Consider the following 25,580-nt stretch of genomic DNA (forward strand, 5'->3'; position numbering starts at 1 on the left):
TTATCTGTGACTTAATAAAAACACATGGGTTTTTTCATGTGTGTGTGGATGGAGCGGTGGGTAGGTGTATGTTTTCTGTTTTTTTCTTTTCTTCTTTTCTTTTCTTTTTTTTTTTTTTCAGATGGAGTCTCATTCTGTCACCAGGCTGGAGTGCAGTGGCACGATCTTGGCTCACTGCAACCTCCGCTTCCCAGATTCAAACGATTCTCCTGCCTCAACCTCTCAAGTAGCTGGGACTACAGGCACATGCCACCATGCCCAGCTAATTTTTGTATTTTTAGTAGAGACGGGGTTTCACTATGTTGGGTAGGTTGGTCTTGAACTCCTGACCTCGTGATCCACCTGCCTCTGCCTCACAAAATTCTGGATTAAAGGCATGAGCCACCATGCCTGGCCGTTTTCTGTTTTTTGTTTTGTTTTGTTTTGTTTTGTTTTCATTTGTTTATTTATTGTTGTTTTCCTCCCTTGCTTTCTATAAAGCTAAAACACCCATTAGTCTAAAATCAGTAAATTAGTACATTTTTAACTTGGGGAAAAGGAATTCTTAGTGATGATTTTTTTTTAATATTGCATTGTAATTTCTTGTGTGATGATACCAATACTAAGATAACAAATGTACTCCTGTGGGAGATACGGCTGGGGCAAACTCAAACCACCCAAGTAGTTGCTAGTAATTGTCCTAACAGTTAAACATCAAGAAACAGATGGATTTGTATTACCCAAGAGCTTTACAAACATTGTTTACTTTTCTAGTATGTATTTGGAGAAGATGGAGTTGCCCTTGGTCACCTTCTTCTGATTCTGTTTTACAATCTCATTTTTTTTACCCCAGATGCTTCCCTGTCTTCAGGAATGCTAAATTCTCGCAGGTTAATTTTCTTTAGTCAGGACTCAGCTTTAGCTTCTCATATACAACTGTTTCTCCAGGACATGTGGACTCTCTTCCCCACCAATCCCCCGTCCTGATTTAGAAATTACCATGCAACTTGTGGCCTGCAAACCCTTATTAATGTAACTACATTAATATCACAGGTTGGATAAATTTATTTAAGTCTCACAGGAATTTGTGTTTTCATTCAGAATAATGTTCTCACATAACTGATAAAAAAAAATTGTCTTTAGGAGAAATGTTATATATCAGACCCAAGTAAGTAAGGAAAAAAAAGTATATATATTTAAAGCTTCTGTGGTGACTTCCATTACCATGGAAGCAATTGTCTTCCTAAAAACCACCTTCTTTGGAAAACAGTTGTCAGGCCCTAAAGCATGGAATGTTATGAAACAGAGTTCATTACATGATACTGATACCAAAGAACATTAAGTTTCCCTGCTACTGTGAGTTGATAAAGACATTGTTGTTCTACAAGCAGGACAGAACTTTTAGTGAAATAAATATTAATCATTTATTAAGATATTCTATAAAATTTGGGCACTGCATTAATTTTACAAACATATATTGAACACTTAGGATATACACGAAACTGCTAGATTAAAAAAAAATCCTGCAGTAAAATAATATCTTAGGGAATATACTTTGTTTTGGCAAAACTTTTTAGGAAATAACATACGTATAGAAAGTTATTATTTAGAAAATATACTCCAAGTACATTTCTAGAAAGGAAAATATTTCAGCACCCAGAACCAGGCCAATAAAAACCAAAATTACTAGCATCTCATAAATTGTCTCTGCATGCATTATGAATTGATGTCCATATGCTGGGTAATCTCGTATGTTTTTTGAAGTATGTAGTAGTAAAATCAGTTTTTACACTGTTTTTTAGTCTGGCTTCTTTCACCCAACATTACGTTTGTGAGATTCCTCCATGCTGTTGATGTGGAGATAGTGCATTCATTCTCATTGTTGGTAGCATGCTGAGGTGAAAACATAACATAATGCTATTCATCTAATTTGGAGCAGGGATCAACAAACTATGACCCATAAATTCTTTTTGGAACTTGGAAATACCAATTTATTAATATATTATCTATGGATTTTTTGTGATACAAGGGAAAACCTGAGTGATTATTACAATTTATGATCTGCAAACCTTAAAACATATAGTATCTAACTCTTTTTTGTTTGTTTGTTTGTTTTTGAAATTTTAAAGCTGGGTGTCCAGGGGAGACATCACATGTTGGCAGGTTCCGTGATGCCCCCCGAGCCGTAAAACCAGCAAGTTTTTATTAGTGATTTTCAAAAGGGGAGGGACTGTACGAATAGGGTGTTGGTCACAGAGAGCATGTGCTTCACAAGGTAATAGAATATCACAAGGCAAATGGAGGCAGGGCGAGATCACAGGACCACAGGACTGGGGCGAAATTAAAATTGCTAATGAAGTTTCGGGCACGCATTGTCATTGATAACATCTTATCAGGAGACAGGGTTTGAGAGCAGACAACCAGTCTGACCATAATTTATTAGGCGGGAATTTCCTCATCCTAATAAACCTGGGAGTGCTACAGGAGACTGGGACTTATTTCATCCCTACAGCTCCGACCATAAAAGACGGCCGCCCTCAAAGCAGCCATTTTAGAGGCCTACCCTCAGGGAGGCATTCTCTTTCTCAGGGATGTTCCTTGCTGAGAAAAAGAATTCAGTGATATTTCTCCCATTTGCTTTTGAAAGAAGAGAAATGTGGCTCTGTTCCACCTGGCTCACAGGCAGTCAGAATTTAAGGTTATCTCTTGTTCCTTGAACATTGCTGTTATCCTGTTCTTTTTTCAAGGTGTCTAGATTTCATATTGTTCAAACACACATGCTCTACAAACAATTTGTGCGGTTAATGCGATCCTCACAGGGTTCTGAGGTGACATACATCCTCCTCAGCTTACAAAGATGATGGGATTAAGAGATGAAAGTAAAGACAGGCATAGGAAATCACAAGGGTATTGATTGGGGAAGTGATAAGTGTCCATGAAATCTTCACAATTTATGTTCAGAGATTGCAGTAAAGGCAGGTGTAAGAAATTATAAAAGTATTAATTTGGGGAACTAATAAATGTCCATGAAATCTTCACAATCCACGTTCTTCTGCCATGGCTTCAGTGGGTCCCTCCACTGGGCGTTCCTGACTTCCCACAACATCTCTCCCTTTCTTTTTATATAAATGTGCCATGGCGATGAAGTCTTGTTCGTTCTCCCGATTTTGACACAGGATTCTTTGACTGGTCCGGCACACTAAAAACAAGCCGATTAAACAGAGAAACATAATTCCAAAATTTTCTACAGTGGAGCCCCCAGTAGACTTAATCCAAGTCGTGGAGTTTAATCCATGAAGATTTTCTGCCACCTGATCTAATGCCTCAGCTCCAGTCACAAAGGATAAGTGAGCTTGAGAGGCTTCAAAAATTTGTTTCTTTAATTTAGTTATGTCCAATGATAAATTATCTTCCCTACCCAGAAGGTGTCCTTTGACCATTTCCCATGAATGATCAGTCTCGTTATAGGCTGTGATACAGAAATCCGAAGTATTCCAATCACACTGAATTTGCATGCGTATCTAACTCTTTAAGGAAAGTGTCTCCAACTTCTGATCTAATGTTTTGATAAAATATTGAGTTGTTTTTAATTTTACTGCTATTGCAAATAATGCAGTGGTGAAGATTTGTGTACACGTGTTTAAGTCTTTCATTTATTTCTCTTGGTTATAAATCTAAGAATGAAATTTTTGAGTCATAGGGCATTTGTTTGTCCGTCTATAGTAGATACTGCCATACAATTTTACAACATGAAATGTCAATGCCCATTTCTACTGTCAACATGTAAGATTAATGATTGTGCCAAATTCTCACCATTGCTGGATATTTTGAATGTTTTCATTGTAGCCACTGTGTAGGTGAGTCACAATACTCATTGAGGTTCTAATTTTTGTGTACTTAAGCATTAACAAATTTGGAAAATCATTACTATGACATGTTTATGAAGATCCAAATTTGAATAAAAGAACAGTAAAAATTGATGTGTTTAACTGTTTGGCCTTCTGAAACTTGTATTATCTTTATTTATTTGCTTATTTATTTTTTGAGATGGAGCCTCACTCTGTTGCCCAGGCTGGAGGGCAATGGTGTCATTTTGGCTCACCGCAACCTCCTCCTTCTCCTCAGTTCAAGCGAATCTCCTGCCTCAGTCTCCCAAGTAGCTGGGATTACAGGTTTCTGCCACAACACCTGGCTATTTTTTTTTTTTTTTTGGTGGAGAAAGGTTTTGCCATGTTGGCCAGGCTGGTCTGGAACTCTTCACTTCAAGTAATCTACCAGCCTTGGCCTCCCAAAGTGCTGTGATTACAGGTGTGAGCCACCTCACTCGGCCTGAAACTTGTACTATCTAACTGGCATTTTTCTCACCACTATTTTAGGTCAAAACAGCCTAGAGGCATAGTGTGATTCTTTTGTATAAAAATGAAGTGACTCACCTTTTTCCAACTCATTCTAACACTGGGGATGGGTTTTCACAGCAGTAGAATCATAATTCACAGAAATAGACTGTGGTGCCTGGAAATGTCATTGGAAATAATCTAGACAAAGTCCCTTTTTTGTATAAAAGAGGATTGATATTTTCATTCTTATGTTTAGGGATTAAAGTGGCAAGGATGAAGGAAGGACTCCAGATAAACATCACCCATCCACACAGTCACTATTAGTAATATTGTATTTGAACAATACTATTTTCCATCAGTCGTTGGTTGATTTGAATGAAAAATATGATTTAGAAAGAATAAGAAGGGAAGGAAAGGATGAGGATCGAAGTAAACAGTCTAGGATAGATTACAGCTTTTGATGCTGTATTCCATGTTTCTGTAGAATCCTCAGATAAAAGCCACTATAAGCCAACTGCTCAAGATTCTATTTAACCCATGAATTCCCTAAAAATTTTCAAATAATGTTTTCAGTCCCATTCATTCAGGGAGATGAAGTTCACAATTAAGCAAATCAGTTTATTGTATTTTTTGGAAATGCTTTAATAGGTTTTAAAATTTCCTTCTCTTTAGTTCACATCCACTATATCTAATAAAAGAGGCCACTGTGTAGCTCAAGTCAGTCTTCAGATGTAATAAGTAAGTGACATGTGAGAGAGAAATGGGCTAATTAGATGACATGTTTACATCTTCTAAATTATTGACAATCAACTAATACTTCATTTTATTTATGCTTTAATGTATGTTAAGCAACGTTTTCCACGATGTTGGTACTCATATTAGTCTCTTTAGGCTGCTATAACAAAATACTGTAGATGGGGTAGCTTATAAACAACATACATTTATTTCTTACTGTTCTGGTTGTTGGAAAGTTAAAACAGGGCACTTGCAGATTCAGTGTCTTATGAGAGGTCCCTTTCTGTTTGATAGACAGCCCCATTTTTTGCTGTGCCCTCCCATGGCAGAATGGGCAAAGGAACTCTCCAGGCCTGTTGTTTGAAGGTGTTAATCCCATTAGTGAGAGCTATACCCTTATAAATTCATCACCTCCTAAAACCATCACTTTGGAGATTAGAATTTTAAAATATGAGGGAAAAAATTACAGTGCTCATAGTCACAATTGTGAAAGAATACAGGTTAATTAAGAAAACGTGTTACCCTTGAAAGCCATAAAGCCTTTTATCTAAAGCAGGAATTATTCATAGTTTTTATTTTCCTCCACCATGATACCTTCTCCTGACATGTCCTAGTGTCTCATATGCCACACTTACCACATAGGAATTTCTTGGGTTTTACTTTTATTCTGAAATATTTTCACACAAGGACACTTCACATTGGCAGCTAGAAAACCTAAAATATTCAGTGGTATTTAGCTTCTATAACTGCAATGAATAGTTAAGAGTGTCCTTGTCTCTTATACATCCATTCCAATATAAGGTCATCTTCATGTTTTCTCAACAAGCTGATTCAGTGCTGTAGTCACCAGGAAACAAGAACAGAGATAGATGAAAAGGGCAGATATCTCAGACATACACAGATAAATGTTCATGCGCAAGCATTGTAGGTTCTATAGTAAAAGCAATTTTATATATATATATATATATATATATATATACACATATATATACACACAAACATATGCACACATATAAATATACACATATTTATTCGAGTTACATACCATATCTTCTATTAATTTTGTTATGCTGACATCTAATAAACACTCATAAATATGGTGTTTTCATGTATTTATCTGTTTTCCTATTTTATGTTACCGAAATAACATTTATGTAGGTGCTTTGGATAACAGGGATGAAACTCAGTGTTCCATACTTGAGCAAAGAACACTCACAATCTCATACTGGAAGCAATGATTTCATAAACAGGTGATATTAAAATAATGCCTTAAGGAATTGTTTGTTTGTGAACCACAAAGAGGGTCATTTTAGGAGGGCTGAGAATGAGAAAGAAGAAAAGGGAAGCTTCCTGGAGAAAGGGATGAAGGAGGTGATAATTGATAATTATAGCACACAGATGTACTTGAGCTGGGCCCTTTCTATTGCCATTTATAACCTAGCCAGAAATGTAGTTGAGTGGGGCCCTTTCCATTGCCATTTATAACCCAGCCAGGTTGGACTTCACTTCCAAAATGACCTGGACCTGTCCACCTCAAGACCTCTCTAATTGTCAAACCCTCTGCCAAGAATCCCTTCCTCTCCCCAAGTTTCATCTTTTTCAGATTTGAGACAATATCTCCATCCCAGGAAGACTTTCTCCTGCACATTAGATTTAGACATTTTGCTGTTGGATTATAACCACAGTCTTTTTATATCATTTTTGTTTCCAGGTGTCTTGTGAATTATTTGAGTGCTCAGTTAACTAGTATGTGTTACTTGTCACTAGAATATAAGTATAGAAACTACTGAATTTGCCACGAAATACAAAGCACCTAAATATGCATAAAAGCAATGAGTATATACTCAGTGAATCTTAGTATAATTGAAATAATCCTGAATTTAAAAATGAGCAAATCAAAATGTGGCATAAGGTCAAGAAAATTTTGCAAGAGAAGTACTAAATATTCTTTCAAGGCAGAAAATGAAGCAGAATATATTTGGGGAACTGTAATATTTTCTTATGATTAGACTAGTGCACATACTCATTTTATTACATTGAACTATTTGACACAACTTTGTTTCCCCACTTCCCCCAGTACCTGGCAACAATTAATCTATTTTCTGTTTCTGTAGATTTGCCTGTTCTGGGTATTAATCTAAATAGATCATACAATATGTGGCTTTTTGTGTCTGGCTTCTTTCATTTAGCTTCATGTTTTCAAGTTTTGTCCATTTCGTAACATACCTCAAGAAATTAAAACAATTTTAGCTTCTTAAACAGGACTGCTCATTCAGACCATGTAGACTGGCCTCCCCAACCCCACCCCCATTTAGAACCTGAAATTATGCATCTACATTAATATTACAAGTTGGAAAACCTAATTGAACTTCCACAGAGATTTGTGCTTTCGTTGAGAATGGTGTTCTTACATAAGGAAAAAAAATGTCTTTAGGACATTTATTGATGGGACTGTATTTTTCCAATTTTGTGTTCTTGATACCTTTGTCAAAGACAGTTGATCATAGATTTGTAAGTTTATTTCTAGATTCTTTCTTCTGTTCCATGGGTCTGTGTTTCTTTTAAAATGCCAACACCATGCTGTTTTGATCACTATAGATTTGCGGTAGATTGTGAGATGTAACACTGTGACACCTCCAGCTTTGTTCTTTTCACTTATGATTCGTCTGTCCATTTGAGGTCTTTTGCATTTTAATATAAATTTTAAAACTTTTTTCCTCTTTCTGTGAAGACAGCCATTGGAATTTTGATAAAGATTACATTGGATCTGTAGATCGCTTTAGGTAGTATGGTCCTTTCAACAATATTAATTCCTTCAAATCACGAACATGAGATGTCTGTCCATTTATTTGTATCTTCTTCAATTTATCTCATCAATATTTAATAGTTTATATGTAGAAAACTTTCAATTCCTTGGTTAAATTTATTCCAAAGTATTTTATCATTTTTGATACTATGGTAAATGGGATTGATTTCCTGATTTCTTGTTTGGATAGTTTGTTATTAATGTGTAAAAATGCTACTGATATTTGTTATGTTGATTTTGTATCCTGCATGTTTACTGAATTCATTTATTAGTTCTACCAGGTTTTCGTGAAGTTCTTAGAGTTCTCTGTATATAAGATTGTGTAGTCTTCAACTGAGAAAATTATTTTTTCTTCCTTTCTGATTTGGATATGTTTCATTTATTTTCATTTTTCTTCTTTTCTTTTCTTTCTTGTGTGTGTGCATGTGTGTAGGTGTGTGAGTGTGTGTGTGTGTATGAGTGCACCTAATTGCTCTGGCTAGAAGTCCCAGTACTATGTTGAATAGAAATAGTTAAGAGTGGGCATTCTTCTCTTGCTCCTGATCTTATATGAAAAGTTATCACCTTTTTGCCACTGAGTATGATGTTGGCTGTGGGCTTGAACATATATGGCCTTCATTATGGAGATGCCTTCCTTCCATGCCTACTATGTTGAGAGTTTTTATCATAAAATGATATTGCATTTTTCCAAATAATTTTCTGCATTTGAGATGATAATATATCTTTTTTATTCATTCTGTTAGTGTGTGTATCACATTTATTAATTTGTAGACATGCACCATCGACATGAACCATCTATGGAATAACAAGGATACATTTGCCTGATCATCATAAATGCTTCTTTTAATTGCTATTAAGTATTGATTTACCAGTGTTTCATTGATGACTGCTTCATCTATGTTAATCAGGGATATTGGTCTATAACTTTCTTTTCTTGTAATGTAATTGGTTTTGGTATGCAGGTAATGCTGGCCTTGTAACATGAGTTTGGATATATTTCCTCCTCTTTGATTTTATGAAAGAGTTTTAGAAGGATTGGTATTAGTTTTTCTTTAAACGTTTGGTAGAATTTAGTAATGAAGCAATTAGGTTGTGGATATTACTTTAACGCACATTTTTTTTATTACTGACTCCAGATCTTTATGTGTTATTAGTCTGCTCAGATTTTATATTTCATCATGACTTGATCTCAGTAGATTGTATGCGTTTAGGAATTTATCCATTTCTTCTAGGTTATTCAATTTGTTGGCATAAGTTGTTCCTAGTAGTCTCTTATGACCCTTGATATTTCTGTGGTATCAGTTGCAGTCTCTCCACTGTCATTTTTTATTTTATTTATTTGAATCTTCACTCTTTCTTCTTAGTCTAGTTAAAAGCTTGTCCATTTGAGATATATATATACACATATACTCACACACACATATATATAATTGTATAAATTTAAGAGGTGCAAATCAAGTTTTGTCACAAAGATATATTGCATAGTGGTGAACCCTGGGCTTTTATTGTAATCATCACTCAAATTGTGTACATTGTACCTATTACATAATTTCTCATTTTTCACCCTCCTCTCACCCTTCAAAATCTCCAGTGACTAATATTACACACACTATGTCCACATGTACATATTAATAAGCTCCCACTTATAAGCGAAAACATGCTTTATTTGACTTTCTGTTTCTGAGCCTTAGACAAATTATAACCTTTTAGCTGGAGGAGGGTCTTGCTTTGAGTGATGGCTGTTGACTAATCAGGGTGATGGTGGCTGAAGGCTGGTGTGGCTATGGCAAGTTCTGAAAATAAGGCAGCAATGCCTTAATTTTTTTGTTTACCCAAAAGTAAATCAGGAGCAGGTTGCTGAGTTTCTGTGTACTTGTGTGGTTTAGATAGTTCCTCTTGGTATTGGTTTCTAATTTTATCCCACTGTGATCCAAGAAGATACTTGATATGATTTCAATTTTTTTTTATCTATTGAGACTTGCTTTATGACGAAGCATTTGGTCAATTTTAGAAAATGTTCTGTGCACAGATGAGAAGAATGTATATTCTTTGGTTGTTGAGTGGAGTATTCTATAGATAGCTATTTGGTCCATTTGGTTGTGAGTCCAATTTAAGTCCAGAGTTTCTTTGTTAGTTTTCCACACCAATAATCTGCCCAGTACTGACAGAGGGGTGTTGAAGTCCCTGACTGTTATTGTATGGCTATTGATCTATTTTCTTAGGACTACCAGTATTTGTTTTATAAATCTGGGCTCTCTGTTGTTGGGTGCATATATATTTAGGAGAGTTAAAACTTATTGTTGAATTGAACCCTTTATCATTGTGCAGTGCCCTTTGTCTCTTTTTACTATTGTTGATTTAAAGTCTGTTTTATCTGGTAGAAGAAGAGCATAGCAAATCCTGCTCTTTTTAAATATAAAGATGGATATAGTAAACACTGGAGGCTCCAAAAAGAGGAGGGGAATGGAGTGGGGCAACTGTTGTAAAACTACCTATTGGGTTCTGTGCCCACTATTTGGGTGATGTTCTCATTAAAAGCTCAAACCTCAGCAGAACCCAATATACCTATGTAAAAAACCTCCACGTGCACCTCCTGAATTTAAAATTTTTTAAAACATGAACAAATAAAAAATAAAACTCATCACTTATTTGGTCAATAGATAAAATTTAAAAAAATGGGCAACAATGAAATTTGCTGAATAAATTGATTCTTCTTTTCACAAAAGATTTCTACAAGCTACTAGCATGTGATGCTGTTTGACAGCATTTTACCCACAGTAGAATTTTCAGAATTGGAGTCAATCCTCTCCTTGCTGCATCTTTATCAATTATGTTTATGTAATATTCTAATATTTTGTTTTCATGTCAGCTACATTGAACAGACTATCATTTTCATTACCTCTGCAGTTGCTTCTTTCACTAAAGTCTTGAGTTCCTCAAAGTCATTCACAAAGGTTGGAATCAATTTCTTCCAAACTCCTGTTGGTATAGATATTTTGGCTTCCTTCCATGAATCATGAATGTTCTTAATGGCTTCTAGAATGATGAATTATTTCCAGGTTATTGGTTTAATTTTCTTAGATCTATCAGAGGAATCACAAGCTATGGCAGCTCTAGCCTTACAGGCTGTATTTCTTAAATAATAATACTTGAAATTCAAAATTACTCCTTGATCCACAGGCTGCATAGTAGATGTTGCCTTAATAGGTATGAAAAGAATATTAATCTTGAGCACCTCCATCAGAGCTGATGAGTGACCAAGTTCACAGTCAAACAACAGTAAAATTTTGAAGGGAATCTTTTTCTTTCTGAGTAGCAGATCTCAACAATGGGCTTAAAATATTCAGTGACTCATGCTATAAGCATATGTGCTATCATCCAGGCTTTGGTATTATACTTATAAAGCATGGACAAAAAAGATTTACCATAATTTTTAAGAACCCTAGGATTTTTAGAGGGGTAAATGAGCATTGGCATCAACTTAAAGTTGCAGTTTCCTCTAAAAAGAGATCAGCCTGTTCTGTGAAGGTTTTATGCCAGTCATTGACTTCTCTCTAGCTATAAAGGTCTTAGGTGATATCTTCCAATATAAGGTTGTTTCCTCTATATTGAAAGGATGTTGTTTAGTGCAGCCTTCATCAATTAACTTAGCTGGATCTTATGGATAACTTACTGTAGCTTCTGCATCAGCTCTTGCTGTTTCACTTTGTGCTTTTATGTTACGGAGATGGCTTATGTCCTTAAACCACAGGAATCAACCTCTGATAGCTTAAATTATTTCTTCTATGGTGTCCTCACCTCTCTCAGCCTTCACAGAATTGAAGAGAGTTAGGGCTTTGCTCTGGATTAGGTTTTGGATTAATGGATTGTTGTGGTTGTTTTGATCTTCAAGCCAGACCACTGAAATTTTCCCCATATCAGCAATAAGAGTGTTTTATTTCTTATCACTCATGTTCACTGAAGTGGCATTTTAAATTTCCTTCAAGAATTTATCTTTCTATTCACAATGTGGCAGTTATCCTGGCACAGGTTTTCAGCCTAACTTGTCTTTTGCCATGCTTTCCTCACTAAGCTTCGTTATTTCTAACTCTTTATTTAATGTGAGAGATGTGCAATACTTCCTTTTGCTTGAACATTTAAAGGCCGTTGCAAGGTTAATTGCAACTTGTCTACTTTTGATATAGTTGTGTCTCAGGAAATAGGGAGGCCAAAGGAAAGGGAGAGAGCCAGAAGGTCAGTTGGCAGAGCAGTCAGAATGTATATAACATTTATCAATTAAGTTCACTGTCTTTTATGGGTACAGTCCATTGTGCCCCTAAATAATGATAATAGTAACATCAAAGATCACTGATCACAGATCTTCACAATAGATAAAATAATAATGTAAAGATTGAGACATTGTAAGAATTACCAAAATGTGACACAGAGACATGATATGAGAACATAATGTTGGAAAACTGGTGCCAGTAGACTTGCTTAACACAGTGTGGTCCTGAACTTTTAATTTGTGAAGAAAAAAACAATATCTGTGAAATGAAATAAAATGATACATGCTTGCATAACTGTAAACTTTCATATTTCCATTTCATAGCTTGTAAACAGTTATCATACATAATAATGATTTGCAGCACACAATATTAGTTACAGAAATACATTTTGTAATAATACACATACTTCTACACATCCTTCAATTAGAATTTTCAAACACACATTTCATGCATGGTTTTCTACCACAGTACTGGATTGATCTCCCTATGAGGATACAATTACGATAGTGTAATAAATTAGAGATAGTATTCTTTTTCTGAGATTCCAGCAAAGAACGTTCCTCACATTCAGTAACACATTGGTGTATTTAAAAACAAGAGATAGTAAAACAAATATTTTGCATTGCAATTAACCTATATTGCTCAAGCCACTAAGAAAATGTTTCCAAATTGCTTTATGATACATTGGATGTAGAAAGTTATCAACATGTTATCACCTGCATTTTAAAAAATATTATTTGGCTTTTTATGATTGCTTTTCTAACATTCTAGCCTCTATCATCTTATTTTATTACATGCATTTTAATTAGTGTGAGATATTATAAAAACATATCTTATAACAAACATGTAAGTGTATATAATGTCCAGGCACTATTCTCAGCTCTTAACTGTATTAACTCTGTTCACCATCAAACAATCAATAGCATATGTGCAATATTCATCCCATTTTACAGATAAATGAGGCATAGAAAAATTAAGCAACTCATTCAATATGCCACTCACTAGCCAAGTATAGATCTGGCATATAAATCAAAGCAATCTGACTTATTTTCTTATCCAGTTATCCAGTAATCTACACTTATAACTGAGATATTCTACAGATAGATACGCACATGTACATGCATGCATACTTTTCTGAAATATTTACTATATCCCTTAAGATGGCTTGATGAAATTGATTTTAGCATAAATCTCAAGCTAGTAATAACTGAAAAGTAGTATAACTAGCATTTAGCAGGAACTTTGAAACTTTTAAATGATTTTAAAAATATTTTAGGACTATGAAATTCATTTGGCTGCATTAAACAAAGTGCTTGATAAAATCCCTAGTGTGAGAGGTTGTGTGTGTGTACAGGTAAGGTTGTTGTAAGTTCCCAATTACAGTATGTGATTGAGAAATTAGATGTATCTTGAGATGCTTTATCTCATGAAGAATCTACCTTTGATCTTAGAACTTTCTCAGCTGCATCCTTTACATCTTTATTTCTCAAACTATAAATCAACGGATTCAGCACTGGAATGAAAATGGTGTAGAACACTGAGATAATTTTATCAGTGTTTGGAGAATACAGGTAGCTGGGCCGTGAGTAAATAAAGAGGAGAGTCCCTTGGTAGATCGTCACTGAAGTCAGGTGAGAGGCGCATGTAGAAAAGGTCTTCTTCCTCCCACTGAAAGAGCGGATCTTTAAGACTGAGAGAAGAATGAAAAAGTAGGAGATGATGATGATGATAAAACAAATGATTTCCACTGAGCTGCCGTATGTGGAGAGGAGCCACTCATTAATTGTTGTGTCAGTGCAGGATAGTTTAAGCAGGGGAGGGAGGTCACAGAAAAAATGATTAATAACATTTTTGTCACAATATTTCAGAATAAAGGCAAAGGATGTGTGAACCAGGGAACTCATGTTGCCTCCAAGGTATGACAAGACAATCAACCGCATACAGATGCCCCTAGACATCACAACTGTGTACAATAAAGGGTTACAGATGGCGACATAGCGATCATAGGCCATGGCGGCCAGGATGAAGGATTCTGTATCTGCAAAAGTACAGAAAAAATAAAACTGCAGGGCACACCCATAATAGGAAATAGATTTGTTCTCCGAGAGGAAATTGACCAGCATTTTGGGAACAATGTCTGAGAAATAGCAAAGGTCTACAAATGATAGGTTGCTAAGGAAAAAATACATGGGGGTTTGAAGGTGAGGATCAATCCTGATCAACAGCATCAATCCAATGTTCCCTATCAGAATTATAGCATACAATGTCAGAAACATGAGGAACAGGACAATCTGCAGTTCAGGGCGAGTTGGAAAACCTAATAGAATAAACTCAGTGACCAACGTGTAGTTTCTATCTGTAAATTCCATCTTCTGTGTTGTTTTCCTTTTATGAGAATTTCTAATACCCTACAATGCTATAATGATGAAAAAAGAAAAATAATTAGATGTAATTATAAAGTTATTTTATTGTTTAAAAATAAATAAATGGCAATAAGATAAAGAAAGCAAGCTCAAACTTTTTTGAACTATAAACTCTGAGAAATATATTTCAGAATTTAGTAATATCATATTTCATGGTTGCAGGTTATATTTTATTTGATTACTATTTCTTCCATTGAACAGTTGACTTCCTATGTGCATGGATCATGTCTGATTTGGCTTACCATTTTGCACCCAAAATATTAAACAATTACTGGCCCAGAGTATTAAAAAAGTAATAAATTAATGAACAGACTGATGATCACATTAAGTAAAGAAAATATGTATATTATTAAAAATGGACTGACTTATAGAGTGTTCCTTTGAATAAGAATTTTAGAACATCTGCTTCTTGTTTTCAGGATTTGATAGATACCGGTATGCTGTGTCTCTTGACTGAGTAAATAGAGTGGTGTGATGAAATATGCCGGCTAATTTTTTTTTTACTGTAAAGCAGAAGCTTTAGCGAAATAAAAACAAATGTCAGTAAATACCAGCTCTGAGGATATTTTTGACAGAAAAGAGCTTAGTGTAATTCCATAAACCCTGTTCACATACTAAACTAAGCTGATAAAATTAGTTAACTACTTGTTTCAATACTTCTGGCATTTATCGAACTCCTTGGCTTCCTGGAAATGCTCATTAAACATTAGTGGACTGACCAAGTACAGTCAGCAAAACATTTAGTTATATGTTAACTTGCAATTAAATAACATTACTATATATGGCATCATCACTGATTAAATTTTATAAGTAAAGAACAATTGTTGCATTTATTGTTATGGTAGTATAATACAAAGTGTTGAGTCAGAAAAATCTGTTAAACACTGCTTCTGAGGTCTCAAAATACTTACAGAATTATAAAAATTTTTAACTTGACTTTGAAGTACAAATAATTTGATTTTGACCATGAAGGATAGACTTGGAAATACGTAAAAAACAAAACAACAACAAAAAAAAGCAAGCAAAGCATCAATCTCTAAAGTTCATGTTGAGAGGGCCAAGATGGGAATTAAAAATATTTGAGTCACTGCCTCATTTACATAATAGATATTATGACAATGACAGTGCTAAAGACAATTTATTTATCTCATGTAAGCAATAAAACTACCCAATGACATAAACACTGAGAAGCCTATTGATAATCAGAAGGGTTAATCACGTGCTCAAAGTGCTGCCTTATGTTATCACCTCAAAGCGTGTGAATGAGATGCAGCACTACAGCAGGACAGTGGTTATTCTCATTTTGCTTGTTTGAAAATAGTCAAGGTATTTAGACAATATAAGACATCACTTCGATTTAGGAGGAATTTGATTAGATGCCCATCTTGGCTGCATGGGGGCTGTGTGACCTTGTGCCACTTAATATAAATTATCCTAATCTATACTACAACAATGATAATAAATATCTCATAGTGTTTCTGTATGGATTAAATAGGGAAAATGTTCTGCCCCCCCTTTCTGTCCCTTTATCTACCTACTTATCTTTCCATGTGTCATTCTTTAGGGAGACTGACATACAGTAGATAACATCAAAAATTAGTTTTGATTGCCACGCTGCCATTTTATTCTTAGATTATGACTAGAGCTACCTGTCAAATTTTACTAACAATAATTGTCACCTGTATAATGCTTACTATGTGTAATGCAATATTCTTAACACTTCACCTATAACTCATTTAATTGTCACCAAAAAACTAACAAAATTACCATGGAGTTACTATCATTATGATCTTTTTCTTACAGATGAAGGAAACTAAGAAAGAGAGAATTTGAGATTTAGGATGTGATGGAAACAGGATTAGAACCCAAAATTCTGACTCCAAAGCCACATGATACACTGGTTCTCTATAAACAGGATTCTTTTTATTAGCTCCATATTTTGGATGAGAACATTAATGCTTAGGATAGTATCTCAAGGTCATTCAACATGTAGTTGACCAGTGCAATTCAAACTCAGGGGTGTATGAAATCAAAGCCCATGAAAGCAAGCATGAGGACGGGGAGAATATTAACAGTATGACCATTCTATGGTTCGCATACTTCCCAAAAATGTGGGGCATGTATTCTTGGCAACTTCACATTGGTCATTCCTTCTGATAGTCAAAAAATTCTATTTAGAGAAATATTAAAAGGAAGAGAAGAGGCATGAGGATAGTGGTAGGAAAAGACAGTGATTCTTGGATTCTTCTTTTTAAAAGGGAATTAACAAATAAATCTTACTAACATACTATGATTCAATAAGTTCTTTCCAAACATAACAAAACAATCTTATGTTATAAAATAAGTTAATTCAAGTTATAAGGTAGGTAGATATGCTTTGGTTCTCCTATCAGTAACAAAAGGCTTATTTAAACAAAAGACATTTTAGACCCTGTGGAAGCTATATCAGAAAGGGTGATAAAAGATAGATTACCTTGTCAGTACAATATTGAATGATAAATGTACTTTCAAAACTATTTGTACTCAAATCAGTGGTTCTTGCTCTCAGACCAACAAAAGTTGATTTTTTTTTTTTTTGCACGATTAAAGCCAGTCCAATAACCGCAGAAGCTACTTACTGAGGAAGGAACTGTTGCAAGTTGCTTAAGGGAATAATTTCACCAATACAACCAAGGGCTTTTACATGAATTCTTATGTCACTGGGGACCTAGTAATTGAAGGATTCCAAGCATGTTAATTTCTGAGAGACTCCTAGAGAATAGTTACTAGGCTTATTGCCAATGTAAATATTTTCTCTAGAAACACATTCATAATTTTCATGGAAATGCTGTTGTGTTAATTTGAAGAGGTAATTTTCATTTTCAGTAATATCGAGGAGGTTGTTTTTAACACTTGGCATTCTACAAAGGACCGTCTTTATTGTGGAGGTTCTTTACAAATAGTTCAAATATTTAAAACTGTAACTACTGCCATTTAAATTTCTCAAAAACCACATGGAAACTCTAAAAATATTATTTATGATTACTAGTACTGAAAATTAATGAATTATTTTTGTGGCATTGAAAGCTTCTGTAGAGCTTAGTATCACCAGATGTTTTCTGACAAGACAGAGGACTTTATAACACCTGGTACCAAAATGTATCAGGACAATGGCAAGGTCATCTCAGTAAACACAGGTTGTCATCATCAACTTCATTATTCTGATATACATTGTATAAGATAGCTTCATTCAAACAACTGTAGTTAATAGCTAATTGTAATTAGTGCAGCCCCACCAATTATAGTCTCTTTATTTTCACAGTATAATGCAGGTTTATTTATCATGCCTATATCTGGAGTATCACAGAGGAAATCTTCTTAAAACTTATATCCATTGCAAAAATCCATTTATGAACCTACTAAAACATGGTCAGAAGCCTCAGCTTAATTATTTTTTAGGAAAATAATTTCACAACTTCAATCCACTGTGTACATTCTAACTATTGAAAAAAAATCTCAGTTACTGTGAGCTCAAATCTGAATTCATATTTCCTCTTTATTTGTGGTATGATCCTTCTATATAACTGCACACAATACTGAACTTATTTTGTGATTTAGGAAAATATAGTGATAGGGTTGGTGAACTGAAAGTTAACTCTATAAAGAAAAAATGAGAGTTTGTCATTTTAGTATAATATGCTCATACAAGGAATTTATCATTTAAAAAATTTTGAGGTAATTATCATTTTGGTAATGAAGTTATTTGAAAAACATTTTAAAAATTTACTCCGTAAATCTAGTTTTTTGAATATACTTCTTTAGAAATCACAAATTTAAATTTTAAAAATTAATTATTTATAATTTCATTCATTAAAGGAAAAAAGTAACCGTTCTCTTTTGCTAATCCTACTCTTCGGAAAGGAAAGTGATAATATAATATTCTAATGGTTGAGTGATTTATGAGAATCTGTGGGCAGAGGTCTAAGCCTGTAAGACGGTTGTAAGAAGAGACTATTCTCTCCAGTATCTGTAGCGTTGTCTCTGCAGAAGAACACTTGCAATCCCTATTTAATTCTTGGACTTTGCACTACTCTTTATTGTGATTCTAAATTTCCCTGACTTAGTATCCAAGAGACATGGAGGGCAAGGAAAGATGGAAGGGAAAATTTCACATGACATAAGTCAATTGTACTTATTATTCAAGTATTCTAGAAAACCACAGGTTTTAGGTATATAGACATAGTTGAGATTTTTCTTTTTAACATCAGATCAACTGGAAGATAGAAGTACGATAGTGGCTGCTAGTGTTAGGTCTGAGAAGACACTGAAGATAATTTGGCTCTGGTACATGTAACATTATATTATCTGATATAAGCTAATCGCATAGTCAACTGATCGGGTTTATAGTCAACTGATCAGGTTTCTGCCATGTATGGATTACTGATAGAAGAAAGATACATAGTATATACATAATTAAATAGCCTCTGTTATCTCTATTTAAAAAGATATTTTAAAAATTATGAGACTACCACTTCAGGTAGGATATAATAATTAATTATAGTTTATCACTTCCACTGAGAATTTACAGGGAAAAAAAGGAATAAATTATAATTATCTTTGAGACCTGAAACTGTCTATCCCTATACACAACCTAGAAGGTAAGAATGAAAAACACACCTGAAGTCGCATTATTATGACTCTGAAGTTCCTTTATTTTCATTCGCACACCCTAGTTTTTATTTATTTTTTTTTTAGAGATTTTGCCTAGGCAAATATTTTGGCTGCTCATTACAAATATTTTCTGAACACCCCATGGATTATTCAATGAGAAACATCAGCAGAAAGAAAGTTTATTCCCTAGATTGTTTCAATTCCTTGCTTCAAAGCCCTTGCCTTCTATTTCCATTAACTTGGACTGCCATATCTTGATCTAATCCAATCAAATCTTTGCTTGGAAAAACTCAAAACAAATGTCCAATTATTAATAAATTATTTTCCTGCCTTTCCTTACCCCAAGACACTGTCAAAACTTTTTGAGGTTGTATTAGCCCTTACCAAGGTAAACAATAAATGGCTTTCTTATGAACTTGTTATTTTGATGATATTTGGGGAATTAGATTTTGCATCATATGTATACACTCATCACATGTACTAGAATGAGTATAATTCAAAAAAAGGTATAACTAGTTAGAAGTCAGCTGAAGACCTGCATATGTCCCTGCAGGTATTTATCAATTATGAGTATGAGTAAGAGATAGAACGTGGGTTTGTCCACAGTTTTTGGCAATTATGTAGTGCTGAAATACCTAAACTGATGGGAGGATCTCCAACAAATGAAGGACTTCCTATTCACGATATTTTAAATTCAAATTTTGGCATGTAATAAACTAAAGACATAGAAAATATTGGAAAAACAAACTGGTATTCTCTCAAATCTCTTAGTGTTAAGGACATAAAGAACTGCAGTGGATTTGCATTCTGAGAATTAAAGAAAATATAAAACCCAGGAGGAATTGTGACTTGGGGACACAGCCAAACTATATCAGTTGGAGTCTGTAAAACATGCAGAAATTGCGGTAATTGCATGGGATTAGAGTGCACAAACTGCATACATGTGGGGCCTCAAATACAGTTATCTTCCTTCCACAAGATCTGCCAAATTTTAAAGCTGTGTGTAATGTTAGATTGAAGATGCCAGAAACCTCTGAAAACACAAGAGTGGACATTCTTGTAGTCTCTTCTTGTTGAGGAGCCATAGAAAGTCCAAGTTCTTAAGTGCAAGCTGGAAGGAACATGCCTTAGACATAGGGTGAACTGGAGGTATACCGCACCTTACCGAAACAATAAGTATGATCAAACCCTAATTGTTTTCTGATCGGATTAAGTTTATCAGCCTTAACTTCATTACAGAGAGGATTGAACGCTCTGGTGAAAGAAATCTTCGGGAATATCTTTTTTTTTTTTTTTGTAGTCACTATTTGGCATGCAATAAGAAACAAATTACTAAATATAAAAATAGGCAAGTCCTTATAATGAATAAGCATGAATTTAAAAAGCTGAAATGCATGTTGACTCACAAATTGAAATTGGCAAGCAACTTTTTTTTGTTTTTAATTATAATATATTTAAGAAAATGCTATTTTAAAACAGAATTGGACAATGACAAAAGAGTGAAGAGATCCCCAAAGAAATTGGAAGCCATAGAAAAGTGTTAAATGGAATTGAAAAATGCAATATCTAGAATGAACAACTTATTGAATGGATTTAACAGTACATTGACTATAAGAATACAGGGAACCAGATGGAAAGTTAGGTGAGTCAAGAGGGTTTTTATTAAGATATTGAAACTTGCAACTAATGTGGTATAGAAGGTTATCAGAAAAATATATGCTGCTATCCAAATACTTAGAATACCCACCTTGAACCAGCCTTAAGAAACTGGTTTTCTATAGCAATTACTCTTTCACATTGGGACTGCTTAGGAATAAATGATCTCAAAGTGCTGTCCGTTTGCTACATAACCTACAGAGTTTTACAATTTCCACACACTAGATGGCACCAGAGACAATTACATAACCACCTGTTTAGTAAACAAGTTTATATCCTGAAAAATCCCCTAATTTTTCAGGGTTTAGGAGATATTTCTTGTAATAAAGTTCTCTTAACAGTATTCTGCTTCTCACTGTGTATACGTGTGTGTATGTGTGTATATATATATGTGTGTGTGTGTGTATAGATAGATTTATTTTCTTTTAAGAAACTCTTCTATTATTTTAATAGCCTATCACTTCTATTTTACGTGATACTCTTATCCTCAGGTCCCAGTAAACCATCCTCAAACAAAAAGACCCAATTCTATACAAGCCCTGCCCTTGTTATCAATACCTCTATAGGATGAATTAATTTTCTGATGGACTAGTTAAAAGGTAATTTAATTAAAATTGAAATTATATTCTAGATACATATCAAACTAGTAAAAGGTAAGGGTAACTTAACTATAAATCAGTCCTGGAGAAATGGTCAAAGCAAAATCTAGTTCACATGAATTAACAAAATACCTTGTAAGAGGACTCTTCTTTTGGAAATATGGCACCCTATGATACTCATACCAACACTCTTACTGGAAACAAATAAAAATGTTGTATGAAGCCATTTTTAATTTATTCAAAAGCATGAAAGAACTGACAAGATTATTATTACCAGACAAATCACTGGAGAAGAAAATATCTTTAACACTTTACTATGTATAGATAATACAATATTTAGAGTCAGTGGGTAAAGGAATCCTGATTGAAACTGCAACAAAGCCTAGAGAAAATGCAGCTACAGATTTGACTTAGCACCTCATTCTAATAGCTAGTCAGAGAAAGGTACATGATTCTGAAGACAAATATTATCTACCTGAATCTTCACTCTTGTTTTACACAAAATATCAAGCATAAAATGAAGAAAAATATAGGAGATACATATAGAAGCAGGAAATGTTCCCTAATAAAGAAAAAAATTTTAATATGATAATAACACAAATAATTAAGATGTAATAATGATTAGATAAAGAAGTAAAATATAACTGTGATAAATAAACTAAAACAACTAGAAAAAAGTAAATAGCATTTGTTAACAGGTGGAAAATTTTAGCAGATAATTAAAAACTAAAAGAAAGAACCACATAGAAATTCTAAAAGTGAAAATAACATGAGGAATAAAAAGTTTACTTAATAGACCTAATATTAGGCTGAACATATTAAAATAGATAAATAAATACCTGTATATCAGTCAATATAAGTTCTCCAATCTGATGCACAGAGAAAAAATAATAGTAAACTTAAAAAGATCCCAGATCCAAGACTTTAATTATCTGGCAAAATATCAAGAGACTTAGCACACATATAATTGTGAGAGTGGGCAAACTAATATTGTTAATAACGGTTGAAGAAATAGTATCTGAGACTAAAATTGATAAAATACATAAATTCTTGGTTCTAGGATTCCCAAAGTACAGAAGGGATAATAATTGCAAAATAAATCTCATCTAGGTAAATAATAGTTAAGAAAGGGAAAAAAGCAAAACAACAACAGCTATAAATAGACCACCATCAAATGAAACAAACATTAAAATGATAGTTGATTTCTCATCACAAAATAATGGATTTTGACACATCGGAATTTCAACTTGAAAAGATAAAATTTAAAACTTAAACTATTATCCTCTATTCAGAAAAATATATATCCTTAAAAACTGTCTCACAAGCATATTACCAGCCACCCAAACTTCTATGGTGAGTTCTAAATATTTTAGCAGTAAACAATTTCAAATTATGAAAAATCAAACAAATAGTATATTTTCATACTTGTATGAAACCAGTATAACTCTAAAACCAAAACCCGAGAACTTTACAAAAAGAGAGAACATTACAGTTTAATGTACTTTCTGAAAGTAACAAATTGTCAAAAACTTAGAGGATGGAAATAATACCTGTTTATCAACACCACAGTTACTGTGGGGCAGGAGTCTTAGCGCAGCTTAGCTGGGCCCTCCACAAGACTTGCCTGGGGCTGGGCATGATCTCAATGCAAGATTGGGAAATGATTTATTTCCATGATCCATGAGATTGTTGGCCAAATTACCTTGCCATTGTAGAAATAAGAGCCTCATTTTTCTGAGTATTGGTTGGAGGATGTGGCCCTCAGTTCCTTTGTTACTGTTTGTTTGTTTTCCGGTTTTTGTAGCAGACAAAATTGCCCAGGCTGGAGTGCAGTGGCTAGTCATAGGTGCAATCACAGTACCCTCAAACTCCTGAACTCAAACCATTCTCCCACCTCAGCCCCTGGAGTAGCTGGGACTACAGGCAAGAATCGCTGGGTCTGGCTTGGCCCTCAGTTCCTAACCGCTGTCCTCAGTTCCCTGTCTCATTGTTCCCCAACATTACTGCCTTTTCCATCAAAGTCAGCAGGAAAAGAAGACCTGCTGGCAGGACGTCTTAAAATACACAATGCAAAGAAGTCATTGGTCTGCTACAATTGTTCAACACCCAGCCCCCCAACCCCCCGCAAATTTTCAGTTTTCATGGCCTGCTAATAATTGCATATGTGTGTGTGTGTGTCTTGCTCTTGTTATCTGGGCTCTTGCTGTTATTGTTCTCTAAGTCATCCTTTCTAAGAAAGCAGTTTAACCTTTTCACATTTAGGAAAAAATAGTGCAGCTCGCTGCCCGTGCTCATTTAATTTTACATAAACACGCTCTTCGAGGCTGAAGCAAATCTGACTGATTTTCAACGTGAAAATAAAATATAAAAACTGTTCTTGTAGTTATTTATAAACAGAATTAACATCAGAATCATCCGAATTATCAGAATCCTATTTCTTGGGGGATAGAACTAAAATGAACATCAGTTTCCTACAGCTGCTATAACCAAACACCACCAACTTAATGGCTTAAAACAATAAATCTCTTATTTTACAAGTCTACAGACTAAAAGTGGGAAATGAATTTTACTTATGGAAAGTCAAGGTGTCCACAGTGTTGTGTTGTGGCCAGAGGGTCCAGGGGAGAACTTGTTCTCTGCTTCTTCCAGCTTCTGGTGAATACTGGCATTCCTTGGCTTGTGTCTTCATCATTCTCATCTCTACCTCTGTGACCACATTGCCTTCTTCTGATTTTTATGGGTCAAATTTCCCTCTGCAACCCTCTTATAAGGGTATTTGTTATTATATTTAGGGCCTATCTAGCTAGAGTTAGGTATGTACAAATAAATGTGATCAGAACTGACTTTATTTACTTATGGGCAAAAGCTTTTCAAGCAGATGCAAACTCTGTAACAGTCTTTTTAAAATATAAATCCTAGTGATAGTGGCTTCTCAGAAATTTATTGCTTTCATATATGAAAAGTTCATTAGAAAAACATGAAATACTAAAAAAGAACAAGTTTAATTATATCAAAATTAATAGGGTTATAGCCCAAGCAACTATTACCATTTTCTTTACCAACAAAGAATCAATATTTATTGTTAGCTTTTACTTATTACAATGATAACACAGGTTAACTGTAGTATACTGAAAATTTTCTATAAAACAAAAAGTAAAAGAATATTTTACTCTATATTATCTATAATGAATACTATTATATTTTCATTCATCATTTTCTTTTTCTTTGATTTTATTTTAGATTCAGGGATACATGTGCAAGTTTGTTACCTGGGTATATCACATGATGTTGAGATTTGCAGTATTAATGGTCCCATCACCCAGGTAGTGAGCATAGTAGGCAACAGTTAGTTTTTCAAACCTTCCCCTCACTAGTATTTCCCGGTGTCTATTTCCATCTTTATGTCCATGAGTACCCAATGTTTAGCTCCTACATATAAGTGACAACATGCAATATTTGGTTTTCTGTTCCTGCACTAATTTGCTTAGGATAATGGCCTTCAGCTGTACCCATGTTGCTGCAAAGGACATGATCTCATTCTTTTTATGACTGTGTAGTATTCCATATTGTATATGGACCACATTTTCTTTATTCAATCCAGTGTTGACAGGCATCTAGGCTGATTCTATGTTTTTGCTGTTGTGAATAGTGTGGCAATGAACATGCAAGTGCTTGTGTCTTTTTGGTAGAACAATCTGTTTTCTATTGGAGGTACATCCAGTAGTGGAATTGCTGGGTCAAATGGTAGTTCAAATTTCTCTGAGAAATCTCCAAACTGCTTTTCACAGTGGGTGAACTAATTTAGATTCCCACCAACATTGTATAAGAGTTCACTTTTTTTCTGCAGCCTCACCAACATCTGTTGTTTTTTGACTTTTTAACAAAAGCCATTCTGACTAGTGTGAGATGGTATCTCATTGCGGTTTTTATTTGCATTTCTGTGATGATTAGTGATTTGGAGCATTTTTCCTATGTCTGTTGACTGCTGTGTATATATGTGTTGTACAAGGTACATGTGTGGTATCTTTTATTTTATAGTAGATATTCTTATAAAACTTATTTTATCTTTTCTAATTTTCCTATCACTGTATCATCTCCAGGAAAATATATTTAGAAAAAAAATTGTC

The 25,580-nt window shown here is 34.3% G+C and overlaps 1 protein-coding gene across 1 annotated transcript, besides 2 other annotated features; it reads right to left on the reverse strand.

The window, feature by feature from the left end:
* Window positions 1–13,549: 13,549 nt before the first annotated feature.
* On the reverse strand, window positions 13,550–14,494 carry OR5I1 (olfactory receptor family 5 subfamily I member 1). Its single transcript, NM_006637.1, has one exon. It carries the CDS (start codon window positions 14,492–14,494, stop codon window positions 13,550–13,552), a length of 945 nt encoding a protein of 314 aa, NP_006628.1.
* Window positions 22,854–23,354: an enhancer, noted in NCBI's record as "H3K27ac hESC enhancer chr11:55712236-55712736 (GRCh37/hg19 assembly coordinates)". NCBI's record gives its function as "activates a minimal SCP1, AML or CMV promoter by ChIP-STARR-seq in primed H9 embryonic stem cells {active_cell/tissue: H9 hESC(primed)}" and the evidence as "EXISTENCE:reporter gene assay evidence [ECO:0000049][PMID:30033119]".
* Window positions 23,355–23,855: an enhancer, noted in NCBI's record as "H3K27ac hESC enhancer chr11:55712737-55713237 (GRCh37/hg19 assembly coordinates)". NCBI's record gives its function as "activates a minimal SCP1, AML or CMV promoter by ChIP-STARR-seq in primed H9 embryonic stem cells {active_cell/tissue: H9 hESC(primed)}" and the evidence as "EXISTENCE:reporter gene assay evidence [ECO:0000049][PMID:30033119]".

This window comes from Homo sapiens, chromosome 11 (assembly GCF_000001405.40).
Source record: "Homo sapiens chromosome 11, GRCh38.p14 Primary Assembly".
Lineage (NCBI taxonomy): Eukaryota > Metazoa > Chordata > Mammalia > Primates > Hominidae > Homo > Homo sapiens.